Source organism: Homo sapiens, chromosome 21 (assembly GCF_000001405.40).
Source record: "Homo sapiens chromosome 21, GRCh38.p14 Primary Assembly".
Lineage (NCBI taxonomy): Eukaryota > Metazoa > Chordata > Mammalia > Primates > Hominidae > Homo > Homo sapiens.
The window spans coordinates 36,400,042-36,419,725 of NC_000021.9; the positions used below are offsets into that span (position 1 = coordinate 36,400,042).

At 45.5% G+C, this 19,684-nt stretch overlaps 1 protein-coding gene across 2 annotated transcripts in view, besides 1 other annotated feature; it reads left to right on the forward strand.

Moving 5' to 3' along the window:
- CHAF1B (chromatin assembly factor 1 subunit B) overlaps positions 1–18,974 on the forward strand; it is a 33,624-nt gene extending 14,650 nt beyond the window's left edge. For both annotated transcript variants that reach the window (NM_005441.3, XM_047441000.1), the window contains 7 exons: positions 2,717–2,810; positions 8,720–8,789; positions 9,333–9,424; positions 11,422–11,563; positions 12,843–13,274; positions 15,254–15,348; positions 16,234–18,974. In NM_005441.3, the coding sequence (NP_005432.1) occupies positions 2,717–2,810; positions 8,720–8,789; positions 9,333–9,424; positions 11,422–11,563; positions 12,843–13,274; positions 15,254–15,348; positions 16,234–16,325 (1,017 nt within the window). In that variant the 3' untranslated portion in view covers positions 16,326–18,974. The remainder of the gene's footprint in view (positions 1–2,716; positions 2,811–8,719; positions 8,790–9,332; positions 9,425–11,421; positions 11,564–12,842; positions 13,275–15,253; positions 15,349–16,233) is intronic.
- Positions 8,493–9,692: an enhancer, noted in NCBI's record as "CDK7 strongly-dependent group 2 enhancer chr21:37780832-37782031 (GRCh37/hg19 assembly coordinates)". NCBI's record gives its function as "activates an origin of replication core promoter dependent on BRD2, BRD4, P300/CBP, MED14 and CDK7 cofactors, with strong dependence on CDK7, by STARR-seq in HCT116 cells {active_cell/tissue: HCT116}" and the evidence as "EXISTENCE:reporter gene assay evidence [ECO:0000049][PMID:35650434]".
- Positions 18,975–19,684: the final 710 nt, after the last annotated feature.

The window sequence follows — 19,684 nt, forward strand, 5'->3', positions numbered from 1 at the left end:
TGGTGCATGCCTGTAATCCCAGCTACTCGGGAGGCTGAGGCATGAGAATCACCTGAACCTGGGAGGCGGAGGTCTTAGCCGTGAGCGGAGATCATGCCACTGCACTCTAGCCTGGGCGACAGAGCGAGACTCGATTTCAAAAATAAAATGAAATAAGGCTGGGCATGATGGCTCATGCCTGTAATCCTAGCACTTTGGGAGGCTGAGGCAGGTGGATCACCTGAGGTCAGGAGTTTGGGACTGGCCTGGCCAACATGGTGAAACCCTGTCTCTACAAAAAATATAAAATTAGCCGGGTGCATGCATGTGATCCCAGCTATTCAGGAGGCTGAGGCAGGAGAATTGCTTGAACCTGGGAGGTGGAGGTTGCAGTGAGCTGAAATCACACCATTGCACTCCAGCCTGGGTGACAAGAGCGAAACTCAGTCTCAAAATAAATAAATAAATAAAAATAAAATAAAAATAAAAATATGGATGCCTTGGCCCCAACCTGAGTGGCGTGATTCACTTGGCTGGAGGTAAGCAGGGCCTCCATGATTCTCAGGTATAGCAAGGGCTGGTCACTACTGATCTGGGAAGATCCCTACACGAGGCAACAGAAGACAGGCAGGTCGAGCGTTGGATCTGTCTGGCAGCAGGCAGTTTACTATCTTGGCAGGTAGGTAGAGAGTTTTGCTAGCAGACAGCAGAGACCCAGCCAAAACACTGGTATTTAGGAATAGGAAGGATTTTGACTTTCAAATAATTGGCAAATGAAAATAGGACCCTTTTTGTAAAGGAATCAAGGCTACCGAGGCAGGCAGCGAGGTGCGGGGAGCAAGCTGGTTACTGGCTTCACACGGGGACATGGTGCAAATGCATCCAAGGAACCAGGGTAAGGCAGTGTGGGCTGGGCGCTGACAGGCACTGAGAGGTCACACCTGTGAAGTAAGAATAGTAATGCTTCCCGGGTGCGGTGGCTCAGCCTGTAATCCCAGCACTTTGGAAGGCAGAGGTGGGCAGATCACCTGAGGTCAGGAGTTCGAGACTAGCCTGGCTAACATGGTGAAACCCTGTCTCTACTAGAAATACAGAAATTTGCTGGGCATAGTGGCGCATGCCTGTAGTCCCAGCTACTCCGGTGGCTGAGGCACGAGGATCACTGGAACCTGGGAGGTGGAGTTTGCGGTGAGCCGAGATTGCGCCATTGCACTCCAGCCTGGGCAACAAGAGCGAAACTCTGGCTCAAAAAAAAATATGTGTATATATATGTTTTTGTATATATTATATATAATATATACTTTAATATGTTATATATTTATATTATATATAATATATTTTTATATTATACATAATATATATTTTTATATTATACATAATATATATTTTTATATTATACATAATATATATTTTTATATTATACATAATATATATTTTTATATTATACATAATATATATTTTTATATTATACATAATATATATTTTTATATTATACATAATATATATTTTTATATTATACATAATATATATTTTTATATTATACATAATATATATTTTTATATTATACATAATATATATTTTATATTATACATAATATATATTTTTATATTATATATAATATATATTTTTATATTATATATTTTATATATATAAAAATATATCTATTACATATATATATATATGAATAGTAATGCCGGCTTCCTTGTGTTCTTAAGAATTAAATGCTTGTTTGTTTGTTGAGACAGTGTCTGGCTCTGTCACCCAGGCTGGAGTGCAGTGGCACGATCTTGGCTCACTGCAACCTTTGCTTCCTGGGTTCAAGCGGTTCTCCTGCCTCAGCCTCCCGAGAAGCTGGGATTACAGGCGTGTGCCACCACACTTAGATAATTTTTGTATTTTTAGTAGAGATGGGGTTTTGCTATGTTGGCCAGGCTGGTCTCGTACTCCTGGACTCAAGTGATCCGCCCGCCTTGGCCTCCCAAAGTGCTGGGATTACAGGTGTGAGCCACCATGTCTGGCAAATGCTTGATGTTTATAAATAGTAGTAAAAACTGTCCCAGACAGGTGTTAAAGAAATGTTGTTTTAAAAGATTAATGATTACCAGTTTAATAATCCACTATTTTCTTTTTTTAAAGGGTGCATTTGTTAATAGCTGGATGTGGTGGCATGTGCCTGTAGTCCCAGGAGGCTGAGACGGGAGGATTGCTTTGAGCCCAGAAGTTCTAGGTTACAGCGACCTATGATTGCGCCACTGCACTCTAGCCTGGGTGACAGAGCGAGACTCTGTATCTAAAGAGTGCATTCAGTTGGAAATTCTAATGAATCCACACAGATAGAAAGCAGAGGTCTCCTGGTCATCTTCCCACTGTCTGCCAGTCTCAGGCCCCAGACATGCCACTATTGACCCTGTGGTTTGTGTTCTTAAGAGTTTTTAAAAATAATTTTAGAACCACATAAAACACACATATATACATATAGCTTTACCTAACAAAAATGTGTGGTCAGTTTTCATGAATGTTTACCCTTGCAGTGTTGTACAATTATTTGATTTGTAATGTGTTTCAGTTTCATTTATGATTATGTCAACAATAAATGACACTATGTAAAGAAAACCATAGGCACATATAGCAGTTGGGAAGCGTTTATTTGTGAGTGTAAAGATTTGGAAAAATGTTTAAGCTTTGTGTGTAGAAAACAAACAAAAAAAATAATAAAAATAAATTTTGTGTGCGACAGGCAAGAAGCTACCGGATGTTTCACGACGACAGCATGAAGTCTTTCTTCCGTAGACTGAGTTTCACTCCCGACGGATCTTTGCTTCTCACGCCAGGTGTGTTTCGTAGCTTTGGACTTAAAGGAATGATGGCCGAGTGGGGATGTCTGCTCCCGTTTTACGCTGCAGCTTATCAGCTCAGTGAATGCTGATTAGAGTGGGGGTCCCCGACTTACCTGCCCATTGGAACCTCCAGGAGAGCTTCAAAAAACACATTGGTGCCTATGTCCCATCCCTAGAGATTGTAGTGTATGTAATTGGTCTGGGTGGCCTGGCTTTTGGAATTTTAAGAAGATTTCCAAGTGATTGTAATGTGCAGAAAAGTTTGGGAGTAATGAGTTTAAAATGATAGGCATTTTCTCTTAGATAAATTTAACTTTTGGCTGGGCACAGTGGATCACACCTGTAATCCCAGCACTTTGGGAGGCTGAGGCGGGCGGATCACTTGAGGTCAAGAGTTCATGACCAGCCTGGCCAACATGGTGAAACACCCTCTCTATTAAAAATACAAAAATTAATGATGTGGTGGCGCATACCCTGTAATCCCAGCCACTTGGGAGACTGCGGCAGGAGAATCGCTTGAACCCAGGAGGCAGAGGGTGCAGTGAGCCGAGATCACACCACTGTACTCCAGCCTGGGCGACAGAGTGATATCTTATCTAAAAAAAAAAAAAAAAAAAAAAAAAGAAACTTTACTATTTAAACCCTTTCAATGAATGCTTTTTCATTCATTAACATGTGTATGGAAGCCATAGCGCTAAAGCCAAAGATAAAGCTCCTTTATTGTTTTTATTCTCCTCAATAAAGCGCATTTGTGACAGGATTAGACTCATGGACAAACTTGTGGAAGCAGCAGTGGTCAAAATCAAAAGGTCAGCCAAGTAGCAAGGACTAGATAGGTTTATTGTCCCTATGTCCCTAGGAAGGCAAGGGGCTCAGCCCAGCAAGATAAGGCTAGGCATTATTGTGGCCACAGTGTTCTCAGAGGAGAATGTCTGCTCATTGCCGTGGCTCCAGGACCATCCTGTGCATAGAGATGACAACATAGCCCAGGGTTGGGCCAAACGGGAGGGCACTGTCTTGGTTTGCCACTGAGTCCCATCCCAGCTGAGCCAGGGAGGGCCTGAGAAGGGCGTGAATCACACATGCAGCTGTGTGGGTGGGGCTTTAAAGAACACTGCGGAACATGTGCGAATGACACTTTGGCCCAAGAAGTCTCAGGACTAAGAATAAGTAGTTGTTTAGGTTATATTTACTAAAGTTAGTTATTAAAAGTTATTCACTAAACCCAGTAATAAATCCTTTTTTTTTTTTTTTTTTTTGAGACTGAGTTTTGCCCTGTTGCCCAGCTGGAGTGCAGTGGCACGATCTTGGCTCACCACTGCAGCCTCCGCCTCCCAGTTTCAAGCGATTCTCCTGCCTCAGCCTCCTGAGTAGCTGGGATTACAGGTGTGCGCCACCACTCCCAGCTAATTTTTGTATTTTTAGTAGAGACGGGGTTTCACCATGTTGGTCAGGCTGGTCTCAAACTCCTGACCTTGTGATCCGCCTGCCTTGGCCTCCGAAAGTGCTGGGATTACAGGCTTGAGCCACCACGCCCGGCCCTTTTTTTTTTTTTAAATTATTTATTTTATTTATTTATTAATTTATTTATTTTGAGATGGAGTTTCGCTCTTGTTACCCAGGCTGGAGTGCAATGGCACGATCTCGGCTCACAGCAACCTCCGCCTCCCGGGTTCAAGCCATTCTCCTGCCTCAGCCTCCGGAGTAGCTGGGATTACAGGCATGCGCCACCACGCCCAGCTAATTTTGTATTTTTAGTAGAGACGGGGTTTCTCCATGTTGGTCAGTCTGGTCTCGAACTCCGGACCTCAGGTGATCTGCCCACCTTGGCCTCCCAAAGTGCTGGGATTATAGGTGTGAGCCATTGCGCTGGCCTTTTTTTTTTTTTTTTTTTTTTTTTTTAAAAAGCAGAGTCTCGCTCTGTCACCCAGGCTGGAGTGCAGTGGCACCATCTTGGCTCACTGTAGCCTCCACCTCCTGGGTTCAAGCGATTCTCCTGCCTCAGCCTCCTGAGTAGCTGAGATTACAGGCGCCTGCCACCACAACCAGATAATTTTTGTATTTTTAGTAGAGATGGGGTTTCGCCATGTTGGCCAGGCTGGTCCCAAACTCCTGACCTCAGGTGATCTGCCCACCTTGGCCTCCCAAAGTGTTGGGATTACAGGTTACAGGTGTGAGCCACTGCGCCCAGCCCCAGTAGCAAATCCTTTACTATTTGGCCACTCTAAAAATATTTTCAATTAAAATCAAGTAGCAAATGGATGTCTGTTATCAACGTTATTGTTCTTTGTGGTGTTAGTAAGTGTGGGAAAAACAGGAAAATGAAATTACAAAGATTGGAAAAGAACAGATAAAAAACTGCAATAGGATTGTATTTCTAGAAAATCCAAGAGATTTTAAAAATAGTATTAGAATTTTTAAAATAATTTGATAAGATGGCTGGATATTATAAAATATATAAAAATTCCTATCTTTCGTCTATATTGGCAGTGAGTACTTAGAAATGGAAGGAGGAGAAATATTTCATTCAGAGTAGTGCAAAACCTGCAAAATACATAGAGTAAATTTATTTATTTATTTATTTTTTGAGACAGGGTCTCACTCTGTCACCCAGGCTGGAGTACAGTGGTGTGATCATGGCCCACTGCATCAGCCTTGATCTCCTGAGTTCAGGGAATCCTCCCACCTCAGCCTCCCTACTAGCTGGGACCACAGGCGTGTAGCACCATGCCTGGCTAATTTTCTTATTTTTTTGTAGAGACATGGTCTTGCTATGTTGCCCAGGCTGGTCTTAAACTCCTGGGCTCAAGCACCCCTTCCGCCTCGGCCTCCCAAAGAGCTGGGATTACAGGTGTGAGCCACCACACCCAGGCAGAAGTAAATTTAATGAGAAAGGGGCAGGACCTTTATGGAGAAGTCTAGAAGGTCTTACTGAAGGTTATAAAGCAAGTTCTGAACAAATGGAAAGATATGTCGTGTTCTAACAATTAACATACTAATTTCATTTCCAATTAGAATTGCATTAAAGTTTTTTTTTAATTGGATGAAATCTCAGCTTTGTTTAGTAGAATAAATGCTGAAGAATAGCCAAAGAAGTATTAAAAAAAAAACAGTGATACTTGGGAGGGCATTTGCCTCACCACATATCAGAAGATCCTATAACACTACTTTTAGCCAATCAATATGGTGTTGCTATAGGACCAAACAAATAGATTAGTGGACCAGAACACAGAATCCAGAAAAAGATCTCAGGATATAAGGCGATTTAATATATGACCTCAGGTGCTGTTCCAGTGGAAAAAAATCTATTATTTATTTGTAATTAATTGTATGTTACTTAAATAATTCTCAAGAGAATTAGACACTGAAGGCAGATAGGACAAGAGTATGTCATTAAGAAGGTTGGGAAGTGTTGAGATTGGACAAAGACCTATTCCTCTTTTTTTTGAGAGGGTTTCACCCTTGTCGCCCAGGCTTGAGAGCATTGGCGTGATCTTGGCTCACTGCAACCTCCATCTCCTGAGTTCAAGTGATTCTTCTGCCTCAGCCTCCCAAGTAGCTGGGATTACAGGCGCCGGCCACCATGCCCAGCTAATTTTTGTATTTTTAGTAGAGATGAGGTTTTACCATGTTGGCCAGGGTGGTCTCAAACTTCTGATCTCAGGTGATCCACCCGCCTCAGCCTCCCAAAGTGCTGGGATTACAGGCGTGAGCCACTGCACCTGGCCTCCTTTTTTTTTTAATTGACAGATGAAATTGTATGTAGTTGTGTATGACATGATGTTTTGAAGTATATATATGTTGTGGAATGACTAAATCTAGCTAATTAGCATAGCATGGTCTCACATAATTAGGATTTCTGTGGTTTGAACGCTTTATATCTCTTAGCATTTTTCAGGAATATAATACATTGTTATGAACCATAATCACCATGTTGTACAAGAGATGGATCTTGCAAAGGGAGGACTCTATTATTGAATGAGTAGTGCTGGGGTAGCCAGCTATGTGGAAGAAGGTAAAATTGGACCCCTTGCCTAGATGTAAAAAATAAATTCCAGGTGAATTCAGTACTTAAACACAAAAGGTAAAAATAGAAAACTCTTGTAAGGAAATATAGGAGGACATTCTAGGAATGGAGAAGACCCAATTAAGACTGGAAACTGGCTGGGCATGGTGGCTCAAGCCTGTAATCCCAGCACTCTGGGAGGCCAAGGTGGGTGGATCACCTGAGGTCTGGAGTTCAAGACCAGCCTGGCCAACATGGCAAAACCCTGTCTCTACTAAAAATACAAAAATTAGCCGGGCATGGTGATGCACACCTGTAATCCCAGCTACTCAAGAGCCTGAGGCAGGAGAATCGCTCCAACCCAGGAGGCAGAGGTTGCAGTGAGCCAAGATCGCACCACTGCACTCTAGCCTGGGCAACAGAGTGAGACTCTGTCTAAAAAAAAAAAAAAAAAGTATATGTTCAAGGATGCTTATTGCAAGCATTGTTTATAGTGGTAAAAAACCAAAAGCCAAAAAAATACTCATTAACAGAGGCTGGGTGAATGAATCTTGCAGTAAATATTATGCAGCTACAAAAAAATAATGCATCAGTGCTATGCAAGTTAACTTTCATGAGTAGTTGATTGAAACAAGCAAAATAAGGAGAAGTGTCAGTTTTGTAAAACAAATGGACTCAATAAAAAATATCATAGAGGTATACATGTGATTGAGTTATAACTGATTGTAATGATTATGTGAGCATGGAGGAAATATACAGATGACATAATGGTTTGTTGAATGTTAAAATGGATTTCTTGGGGATGGAAGAATGGAGTGGGATGAAAAGAGGGGCCTGGGTGCAGTGACTCACGCCTGTAATCCCAGCACTTTGGGAGGCGGAGGAGGGCAGATCACTTGAGGTCAGGAGTTCGAGACCACCCTGGCCAACATGGTGAAACCCCCTCTCTACTAAAAATACAAAAATTAGCCGGGCATCGTGGCAGGTGCCTGTAATCCCGGCTACTCAGGAGGCTGAGGCAGGGGAATTGCTTGAATCTGGGAGGTGGAGGTTGCAGTGAGCCAAGATCACGCCATCGCACTCCAGCCTGGGTGACAGAGCAAGACTCCATCTCAAAGAAAAAAAAAAGAGGGCAGCTATGTAGAATGTATTAATAATAATAATAAAAAAGACTATTGATACTGTCTACTGCCCTCCCTGGTGGATATGAAACAGTCATATGTAAAGTTACGTGTGTGTATATGTATCAAGAAATAGCATAAAACAGGGAGATGTTTCCAAGAGCAGCAGTGTATGATGGTCACTCTGACAGGGCTGAACTGTTTTAAGTACAGCAGGGGGTGAGTGTAGAAGAGCTCTCAGATGGGGACTGTTCCCCAGAGTGAAGTCAGGTTCTGAAGGAGGCTGGAGGTTTCAGCAGAGGGCAAGGTCTCCTGGCAGCCTCATGGCTGGATAGGGAAGTTGGGGAAAGGCGAGTCTCAGCCTTTGGATGGCATCCAAGGCTGGAATCCAGGAAATAGAGATGAGGGTCCTAGGGAGAAAGGAGCCTGGGCAGCTGAATCTAGTCACGGTGCTTCAATCGAGGAATTGCCTGGAGGCTCAACGGTGCCCTATGGCAAAGGCTCACTATGTTCTCCTCGCCCAAGATCAGAACCAGGTCCCCGGGGATTGCCCACAGGTAGGTGGAGATGACAGGTAGGTAGAACTGGAGTAAGGGCTGAGAACAGACAGTGCCGGAATATATGTTTTTGTGCTCTGTCACAACATTGTCCAGAGAATATAACTGCAGGGGGAAGTATTTTGCAAACCGGACCTGAAGGCTCTTGAGTTTCTGTTGGTGAACAGTTTGCTGAAACAGTGACTTTTCTTTCCTCTCCCTCCCTTCCCTGTTCCCCAGCTGGATGTGTGGAATCTGGTGAAAATGTAATGAATACCACTTATGTTTTCTCCAGGAAGAATCTTAAAAGGTATGCAGTCAAGGAAATGTTTGAAATGTTTACATTTTTTTTAGACGGAGTTTCGCTCTTGTTGCCCAGGCTGGAGTGCAATGGTGCGATCTCTGCTCACTGCAACCTCTGCCTCCCGGGTTCAAGTGATTCTCCTGCCTCAGCCTCTTGAGTAGGTGGGATTACAGGTGCCCGCCACCACTCCTAGTTAATTTTTGTATTTTTAGTAGAGATGGGGTTGCACCATGTTGGCCAGGTTGGTTTCAAACTGCTGACCTCAAGTGGTCCGCTTGCCTCGGCCTCCCAAAGTGCTGGGAATACAGGCATGAGTCATTGCACCCGGCTTGTATTTTTTTTTTTTTTTTTTTTTTAGTAGAGATGGGGTTTCGTCATGTTGGCCAGGCTGGTCTTGAACTCCTGACCTCAGGTGATCCGCCTGCCTCCTCCTCCCAAAGTGCTGGGTTTATAGGTGTGAGCCACCGCGCCCTGCCAAAATGTTTACCTTTTATTTTTGCTTTTGCTTAGTCACAGTGCCTTTTCCTAACACTGCAATTAATCCATTAGGCCCATCGCTCATCTTCCATGTCCTGGAAAAGCCACTCTTGCTGTTCGCTGCTGTCCGGTCTACTTTGAACTGAGGCCAGTGGTGGAAACAGGTATCCTCAGAGCCTCAGGGGTGTGTTATGTTTTCTCTCCGAAACAGGTCACCAGAGTGGGGTGGAGATTTGGATTCTGTCTTATGGGGAAAGGTGGGTATCTGGGTTTGGTTCAGTTCAGTTATTTTAAAAATATTTTATTTTTACATTTAAATCTATTTATTTATTTATTTTGAGACCAGGTTATCAGCCTGGTTAATTTTTGTATTTTTGGTAGCGACAGCGTTTCACCATGTTGCCAAGGCTGGTCTTGAACTCCTGGACTCAAGTGATCCACCTGCCTCGGCCTCCCAAAATGCTGGGATTACAGGTGTGAGCCCCTGTGCCCGGCCTGGTTTAGTTATTTTTAAAAGCTGGAGCAAAGACTGGGGTTATCAAAATACATGTCAGTTTTTTTTTTTTTTTCTTTCTTCAGGATATATTTTCTTGCTTAAGGCACTTTAAAAGGAATGGACGTACTCCTTTTGTTTGTCTATGTCTCTCATTATCAATTTTCTTTTTCTTTTTTTTTTTTTTGAGATGGGGTCTTGCTCTGTCGCCCAGGCTGGAGTGCAGTGGTGCAATCTTGGCTCACTGCAAACCCTGCCTCCCAGGTTCAAGGGATTCTCCCTCCTATCCTCCAGAGTAGCTGGGATTACAGGCGCATGCCACCACACCCAGCTAATTTTTGTATTTTTAGTAGAGATGGGATTTTGCCATGTTGGCCAGGCTGGTCTCGAACTCCTGACCTCAGGTGATCCACCCACCTTGGCCTCCCAAAGTACTGGGATTATAGGCGTGAGCCATCATGCCCAGCCATTTTCTTTGTTTTCTTGTGCTTGGGGTTCATTGAACTTCGTAGATCTATCCGTTTATAGTTTTTATTACATTTGGGAAGTTTCAGCCATTTTTCCTTCAAATGTTATTTCTGTTATTCCCTTCTCTTATTCAAATACTCCCATTACACATGTATTATATTAGGTCCTTTGAAATTAGTTCCTGGCCTTTGATACTACTTACTTTTTTTGTTTTTTTCTTCTTCCAGTGTTTGATTTTGGAAGTCTCTATAGCTGTGTTTTGAGTTTGCTAACCCTTTCTTCTGCATGCTCTGCCCTTGGTCCCATCCAGTGTGTTTTTCTTTGTTGTGGTTCTCATCTCTAGAGATTCACTTTGGGTTTTCCTTATATATTCTGTGCCTCTCCATGCTCCATTTTTCCTCTTGCTGCTTTCTTTTTTTTTTTTTTCTTGCTCTGTTGCCCAGGCTGGGGTGCAGTGGTATAATCTCGGCTCGTTGCAGCCTTCGTCTCCCAGGTTCAAGTGAATCTCCCACCTCAGCCTCCCAAGTAGCCAGGATTACAGGTGTGCGCCACCACACCCAGCTACTTTTTTTATTTTTAGTAGAGGCAGGGTTTTGCCATGTTGGCCAGTCTGGTTTCGAACTCCTGACCTCAGGTGATCTGCCCGCCTCAGTTTCCTCTTGCTTCTTAAGCATATAGAGTGCAGTTATAATAGCTCTTTTAATGTCCTTGTATACAGGTTGGTTTTGATTTTTTTCTCCTCATTGTGGGTCATATCTTCCTGTTTTTGTTTGCCTGGTACTTTTTGATTAGATACTAGACACTGACTTTTACTTTAGTGGATGCTGGATGTATTTTTATTCTTATAAATATTCTTTTTTTTTTTTTTTGTGACAGAGTCTTCCTCTGCCACTAAGGCTGGAGTACAGTGGTGCAATCTGAGCTCACTGCAACCTCCGCCTCCTGGGTTCAAGCGATTCTCCTGTCTCAGCCTCCTGAGTAGTTGGTACTACAGGCACACACCCCCACGCCTGGCTAATTTTTGTATTTTTGATAGAGACGGGGTTTTGCCATGTTGCTTAGGCAGGTCTCAAACTCCTGAGCTCAAGTGATCCACCCGGCTCGGCCTCCCAAAGTGCTGGGATTCTAGGCGTGAGCCATTGCACCTGGTCAGAAGCCTTGTTTCTGTGGTTTTACTTTGTCTCTGTCCCCAACCCCCAGGTGTGGAGCTGATGAGTCTGCCCTACCGCCTGGTGTTTGCTGTGGCCTCGGAGGATTCCGTGCTTCTGTATGACACCCAGCAGTCCTTCCCTTTTGGTTACGTGTCTAATATACATTACCACACCCTCAGTGACATTTCATGGTGAGTGGCTGCTAATGAGGGAGAGTGAGTGAAGGAGACCGTGGCTGTATCCTGGAAGACACCCCGGGGTTAGGGAGCATTTCATTACTAAAGATGGCTTTGGGGGACATATTCACCAATTTTGTTTCTTATTTATTTTTTTGAGACCAAGTATCACTCTGTCACCCGGGCTGGAGTGCAGTGGTGTGATCTCGTTTCACTGCAACCTCCACCTCCCAGGTTCAAGTGATTTTCATGCCTCAGCTTCCCAAGTAGCTGGGATTACAGGTGCGCACCACTACGCCTGGCTAATTCTTGTGGTTTTAGTAGAGATGGGGTTTCGCCCTGTTGGCCAGGCTGGTATCAAACTCCTGGGCTCAACGATCCTCCTGCCCCAGCCTCCCAAAGTGCTGGGATTACAGGCGTGAGCCACCACGCCCGGCCCCAATTTTGTTTTTTAAAGGAATCAACATTAAAAGGAAAGCCGTTTCTAGTTTGCCACAATACTTGCTTCTTATTTTCACACTGGTGGGTTTTGATGGCATTCAGATTGCCTTGTGGGGTTAACTGGACTTTGATAAACTGAGGGGAGGCCTTGTAGACTCCCTGGCCATTTGGGGACTTCTGAGGCCCTCTGGGAGGAAGCCCTTCCCTGCATGCCCCTGCTGCCCAGGACAGGGAAGTGCCCCAAGCTGGGCCTGTGTAGAGGATGTCACTCAGCACTGTCCTTCTGCCACCTTTTGGTCCCCAATTCAGCCCCCGTGGCCTGCTTGGCCCAGTGTGAGGTTTTTTTTTTGAAACAGAGTCTCACTGTCATCCAGGCTGGAGTGCAGTGGAACGATCGTGGCTCACTACAACCTCCGCCTCCTGGGTTCAAGCAATTCTCCTGCCTCAGCCTCCCGAATAGCTGGGATTACAGGCGCCCACCACCATGGCTGGCTAATTTTTTTGTATTTGTAGTAGAGACAGGGTTTCACCATGTTGGCCAGGCTGGTCTTGAACTCCTGACCTCAAATGATACACCTGCCTTGGCCTCCCAAAGTGCTGGGATTACAGGCGTGAGCCACCGCACCCGGCCTATTCAAGTGAAAATTGCTAGTAGCACAGATAGGTTGCAGCGACTTAGCAAATCGCGATGAAACTGCATGAGTGAGTCGCTATCACACACTCTTTTCCAGTTGTATCTTTTCCCTGGTTTTTGCCTTCAAACAAGCTTGTGATTTTGCTCGAACTTCCCTCTTCTAAGTAGATGTGAGAGTGTTGGTAAGGTCTGTAACTTTTCCCTGTTTTGGGGACGAAGGTCCAGCGATGGTGCCTTCCTGGCCATTTCTTCCACGGACGGTTACTGCTCATTTGTGACATTTGAGAAAGATGAACTTGGAATTCCTTTGAAAGAGAAGCCAGTTTTGAACATGAGAACTCCTGATACAGCAAAGAAAACCAAGAGTCAGACACATCGAGGGTCTTCGCCAGGACCCAGACCGGTAGAGGGAACCCCTGCCAGCAGAACCCAAGACCCCAGCAGCCCCGGCACGACTCCCCCTCAGGCCAGACAGGCCCCAGCCCCAACAGTCATCAGGGACCCTCCCTCCATCACTCCTGCTGTCAAAAGCCCCTTGCCGGGGCCTTCGGAGGAGAAGACCCTGCAGCCCAGTAGTCAAAACACAAAAGCCCACCCATCCCGGAGGGTCACTCTGAACACACTGCAAGCCTGGAGCAAGACAACACCCCGGTAAGAACTTGTTGGAACAAGATGTCATTGCAAAATGAAACACAAAATGCAGACAGAACGCTCCCACCCTGCTGCAGGTGAAATTTCAGGCGGTGAATGCTTCATGCCAGTAGGTTGCCAGAGAGATTCTTAACTTCAAATCCGAGAGTGTCATTTCTTGCATATAGGCCTCTGTTTGTTCCTCCAGTTTCTGCCTGTCAGATAAAGCCCAGGCTCCTATGCACACACACAGACTGTGATTTGGCTGCAGCCTGTCATCCAGGACTGTGGCCACTCTCTCTCCTGAGTCTGTGGCCTTCATCTCCGGCCTAGTCCTGAATGTCATCTTCCCAGAGCACTCTCTGCCCTTTGAGGCCTCTGTCCTTCCCTTCTCTGGGGAAGCCCTGGACACCTCTTCCTCTTGGTGATGCCAGGAGTCTCCTGAAAGACCCATTTCAATGTACCCTCTCTGTTTGCAGTCTTTGTGGCCCTTCAGCCTTTCCCTTGTCACCACACATCAGATTCCATAGCAGGTGCTTTGATGCTCCAGTTCCCCTGCTGGTTGTGAGCCCCCAAGGACAGGAAGCAGGTCCCATTTTTTATTTATGCTGTTCTGCCCAGGATGTAGGCAATTCCAGGAGTGTCTTCCTGAGACTGCGTTTGATGTCTCCAGCAGCCTGGTCGGTGAGAAACGGAGGTCCTGATCTGATAACAAATAATCCCCAGGAGGTGCAGAGTCGTTTCTTCCCTGCTTACATCAGTGTGGCTGGCACGCACGCCTGTGTCTGCCACTTCTACTGGATACAGAGCCACTTAGCACATCCTTCTGCCGTCAGGCAGCACAGCCTCCTGTTTCCATTCTTCCCCTGCAGCTGATGTCCAGTTACCCCTCTGATCCTGTATAGTTCCTTCTCCACCAAGCCCTCTGCCTCCCAACCTTCCCATAAACTGAGTCACGAGGAGAGCTGGGAAGGGGGATGCAGAGGGGAGTGGTGGGGATGGTGAGCTGGACAGAAGCGCCCTGTGCCTCTCAGCCTCTCCTGCGCCAATAGGTCTTCTTTGGCAAGTTCATAATATGTGTATGGGTTGCTGGCTTTAACGCCCTCTTAAAATCTCTCATTTCTTTCTGCAGATTAGCAATGTATTTTACAATTTTTCTGTTTGTTTTTATGTGACGGAAGGTATTCCTTGAACTATTTTTGGTATTAAATTATTTTTCCCCTCTTGATTTCTTCTGAATTATTTACCAAGCTTCTTGAAGATGTAATCTTTTGCAAACAAGAATAGTTGTTGAAAATTAAGACTCTGGGTTTTTATTTATTTATTTATTCATTTGAGACAGGGTCTTGCTCTGTTGCCCGGGCTGGAGTGCGATGGCATGCTCTCTGCTCACTGCAACCTCCGCCTTCTGGGTTCAAGTGATTCTCCTACCTCAGCCTCTCAGGTAGCTGGGATTACAGGCATGCGCCACCATGCCTGGCTGACTTTTTGCATTTTTAGTAGAGACGAGGTTTTGCCATGTTGGTCAAGCTGGTCGAAAACTCCTGACCTCAAGTGATCTGCCCGCCTCAGCCCGCCAAAGTGCTGGGATTACAGGTGCGAACCATCTTGCCCGGCCCAACGCTCTGGATTTTAAAAAAGTATTACCTGTGTTTCGACGCTTTCTATATATAGAAACCATATCTGACTGCCTTTTACAGCAGCCAGCAGAGTGTTCACAAGACCGTCGGTAATGAACAGAACACAGGTTTTGAAACTTTTCGATGACTGGTTATGGTTTAAGTTGACTGTTATAAATGTGATGGTTTAACTTAATACATGAATGTAATCCTCAGTTATTAAACAAGTGGGCACATCTTACTATTTAATGCCTTGAACCAGAAGTTCAGCTGAAAATTTAAGTATTTCCTTTGGTAGTTTTGAAGGTTGGTATCATACATAAACAATTCCTGTGATACTAATGAGCCATCACCCCTCTACTTTTTTTTTTTTAAATCAAGGAGAATAAACTTAACACCCTTAAAGACGGACACTCCACCAAGTTCTGTACCAACCAGTGTGATTTCCACCCCTTCTACAGAAGAAATTCAGTCAGGTAAGTAATATTGTTACTGGTTTAATATAATGAAAGGTAGAGTATCTTTTCTTTTGTTCTTTTGGAAATTAATGCCGCCTAATTTTAAGTCAGTTCTGAGACAGCAGGGATGCATCTTATTGGAACCATTGTTTAAACCCGCCGGCTGCCTGTTTACGCCTCAGCAGGGGGCACCTGGCCAGTGAGAGCATCCTGGTGAGCCAGGGAGTGGGTTCAGCAGGAGATTGTCTAGCTCAGGTTTCTCCACCTGATGACTGCTGACCTTGTGGGCCAGGCAATTCTTTGTTGTGGAGGACTGTCCTGTGTATTATGCGATGTTTAACAGCATCCCCGGCTGCTACTTCTTGCCCATGACATTCTTTTTTTTTTTTTCTTTTTTTTGAGATGCAGTCTTGCTCTGTCGCCCAGGCTGGAATGCAGTGGCACGATTTCGGCTCACTGCAGCCTCCACCTCCCACGTTCAAGCAATTCTCCTGCCTCGGCCTCCCGAGTAGCCGGGACTACAGGCGTGCGCCATCACACCCGGGTAATTTTTGTATTTTTAGTAGAGTCGGGGGTTTCACCACGTTGGCCAGGCTGGTCTTGAACTCCTGGCCTCAAATGATCCACCCGCCTCAGCCTCCCAAAGTGCTGCGATTACAGGCGTGAGCCACCGCGCCCAGCTTGCCCATGACATTCAAAAATGCCACTAGACATTGCCCACTGTCCCTTGAGAGGCAAAATCGCCCCTGGTTGAGAGCCACTCTATAGAACTTCCATTATATCAGTATAGGATCTTGCCAGGCAGCTCAGTTCCGTGTCTTGGCTCTGTATTCTGTAAATGTCAGCCCTTGACTTCCAGAATTCTTCATTTACTTGCCAACCTTATGTTTGTTAATGTTGCAGAGACGCCTGGAGACGCTCAGGGCAGTCCCCCAGAGCTAAAGCGGCCCAGACTCGATGAAAACAAAGGAGGCACGGAAAGTCTGGACCCTTGATGGGACCTCGGCTTCTGCTCGAAGCCTACCAGGCTCCCGGTGTGTGCAGGGAGACGGTAAAGCTGGAGGTGCCTGAGACCAGGGCTTCCATGGAGCGGGACACACTGTAAATGGATTTCTATAACAGAAGTGACATGTGTACTGATTTTTCTCCAGAAATATGGATGCTGTTGTATTCAGTATCCATTTTTAACTTGGGACATGAACGTTTTAACGTAGTAAATCCTCTTTTTGATGAGTTTCTGAAACTGGAGCGGTTCAACGTTATCCAGTGTGAAAATCAGTGAGTCCTCCCTGGCATCCTCGTGAAAGTGCACACACTTCATGGAGGGACTCCTTTTCAATAAGAATTAGGAAGATGAGAAAGTAATTTGAGATTTTACTCTGTCGAATTTTAGAGTATTTGAAGTGATTGTTAGATTTCACTTCTAAGGAGTTGATTGATTAAACTTTGGAAGGTAGTTGTGTTTGTTTTCTGATTTTAAAGGTGACGATGCTTATTCTTTTAGTAACTAAGTGAAGTGAAAAAGATGGGTATCACCCATCATCTTCCCACCAGAAGTAACCCTCGTTAATGTTGTAGTATATTTCCTTAGCATTTTTGTGGATCTATTTATTCTAAAAAGAGAATTGAGATTTTATTTCATATGCAATTTGGTATCTAAATAGGTTAGTTTTTTAGATTGGTTTTTCAAAGCAAAAAAAGTATCTTTTTTGTTTTTTGAGACAGGGTCTTGCTCTGTTGCCCAGGCTGGAGTGCAGTGGCGCTATCTCAGCTCACTGCAGCCTCGACCTCCTGGGCTCGAGCGATCCTTCCACCTCAGCTTCCCGAGTAGCTGGGACTACAGGCATGTGCCACCATGCCATGCTAATTTCACACACACATGCACCCACACACACACATATATATGATACATATATATATATATACACACACACACAAGTATGTGTGTATATATATATTTTTTTTCTTTTTTTTTTGAGATGGAGTCTCACTCTGTCGCCCAGGCTGGAGTACAGTGGCACAATCTCGGCTCACTATAACCTCCGCCTCCTGGGTTCAAACGATTCTCCTGCCTCTGCCTCTTGAGTAGCTAGGATTACAGGTGTGTGCCACCACATCCGGCTAATTTTTATATTTTTAGTAGAGATGGGGTTTTGCCATGTTGGCCAAGCTGGTCTCTAACTCCTGACCTCAGATGATCTGCCTGCCTCGGCCTCCCAAAGTGTTGGGATTACAGGTGTGAGCTACTGCACCTGGCCTAATTATTATATTTTTAGGGGAGACGGGGTTTTTCCATGTTGCCCAGGCTGGTCTCGAACTCCTGGGGCTCAAGTAATCCTCCCTCCCCAGCCTCCCAAAGTGTTGGGATTACAGGCGTGAGACACCATGCCTGGTCAAATGGTATCTGTTTTGACGGGTGGTTCTCAACTGTAGCTGCATACTGAAATCACCTAAGAGCTGACATACCAGTGCCTGGGTTCCCGCTTCGGAGGATTTGGCCTAATCGGTCTGGGGTATGTTCTGAATATTAGGATTTCTTAAAGCTCCTGGAGTAATTCTGATGCGCAGCCAAGATTGAGAAATCTAAGGGAAAAAACTTTCCCTGGATACGGTCTGTTCTGGTTAAATGCATTTCCACTGAAAGCATTTTTTTTTTTTTCCGAGACAGAGTCTCGCTCTGTCACCCAGGCTGGAGTGCAGTGGCGCAATCTCCACTCACTGCAACCTCACCTCCTAGGTTCAAGGGATTCTCCTGCCTCAGCCTCTCCAGTAGCTGGGATTACAGGCACCCGCCACCACGCCCGGCTAATTTTTGTATTTTTAGTAGAGATGGTGTTTCACCATGTTGGTCAGGCTGGTCTCCAACGCCTGACCTCGTGATCTGCCCACCTCAGCCTCCCAAAGTGCTGGGATTACAGGCGTGAGCCACCGCGCCCAGCCGAAAGCATTTTCTTGATTATCTCTGCCCCGTCACTGATTGACATCCTCCTTTGCTGGGGCCGCGGACTGAAGGACAGTATGCAGGAGGTGCCATCAGCTCTTCTGAAAAGAGACAGCTTTCAGTGTCATGTGGCTGGCGTGAGGTGCGGTTTGCAGTTGTTGATCCTGTGCAGACAGATGAATGACCATGGGTCCCCTGTCCTTATTGAGCAGCCTGCTTCCTGGCCATACCTGGGGAGGAACAGTATTAGGTTTTTCTGGGTGTGGTGGCTCACACCTGTAATCCCAGCACTTTGGGAGGCCAAGGTGGGTGGATCACTTGAGGTTGGGAGTTTGAGACCAGCCTGGCCAACATGGTGGAACCCCATCTCTACTAAAAATACAAAAACTAGCCAGGCGCGGTGGCACACACTTGTAATCCCAGCTACTCGGGAGGCTGAGGCACAAGAATCGCTTGAACCCGGGAGGCGGAGTTTGTAGTGAGCTGAGATGGTGCCACTGTACTCCAGCCTGGGCGACAGAGCGAGACTCTGTCTCAAAAAAAAAAAAAAAGAGAAAAAGAAGAACAGTATTAGGTTTTACAAATCTGTTTCTTGTGCATTGATTGTGGGAGTTGGGGTGGGGGACCCCTGATGGCCTGCCTGTTCTCAGCCATCATCCTTAAATATAAATCAAAATTGGCAATAAAAGACCAAGTGAAGTCACTTCAGTGTCATAGTCTAAAACTGCCTGCAACCATCTGGGCAGTGTATTGGGAAAGCTTTTGCAAAGGGAGCCCAGCCTGAAGGTTGGGCAGGCTTCCACCTTACAGTGGCTGCTGGGTTGAAGATCCTTCTCATGGTTCTGGATCTGTACTTGGAGGGGTCGTTGTTTCTGTTTTGAGCAGTATTTCCAGATGTCTCTAGCAACTCTACTGTTGAATATTAGTTCCTGCTGCTGGGGGTGCCTAGAAGAAAATCAGTCTCAGGCTTGGGGAGACTGCTTGGGAGAACTTGACCTGACTTCCCTGGAATCTGGGATTGTGAGGATAGGTCGGCGTTTGAAGGAAGAAAGTTGGAGGCTCAGCGTGGGCAGCAGAGGGTGAAGCCTTCATTTTATGCAGTGGCCCGTACGGTGGACAGGGGTATGCGGTGCCTCCTCGGGTTATCGTGGATAACGGGCCCAGCCATCCTCAGCAAGTGCCCACAGGGCCAGGGCCCTCTAGCAGAGAGGGGCAGGAGGATGTGCCACGGGGCAGGGGAGAAAGTCTCCTGGGGTCCTCGTTTACTCCAGTTTCCTCCCTTATATCCACTTCCGTCGTCTTTGCTGAAAGCACATCTGTGTAACGATGCCCTTGGCCCTCCTTACCTAAATAGTTGTCAGCGTTCACTTAAACAACATAGGTTCCAAGTCCTTGGCTCTGGAAACATCAAAT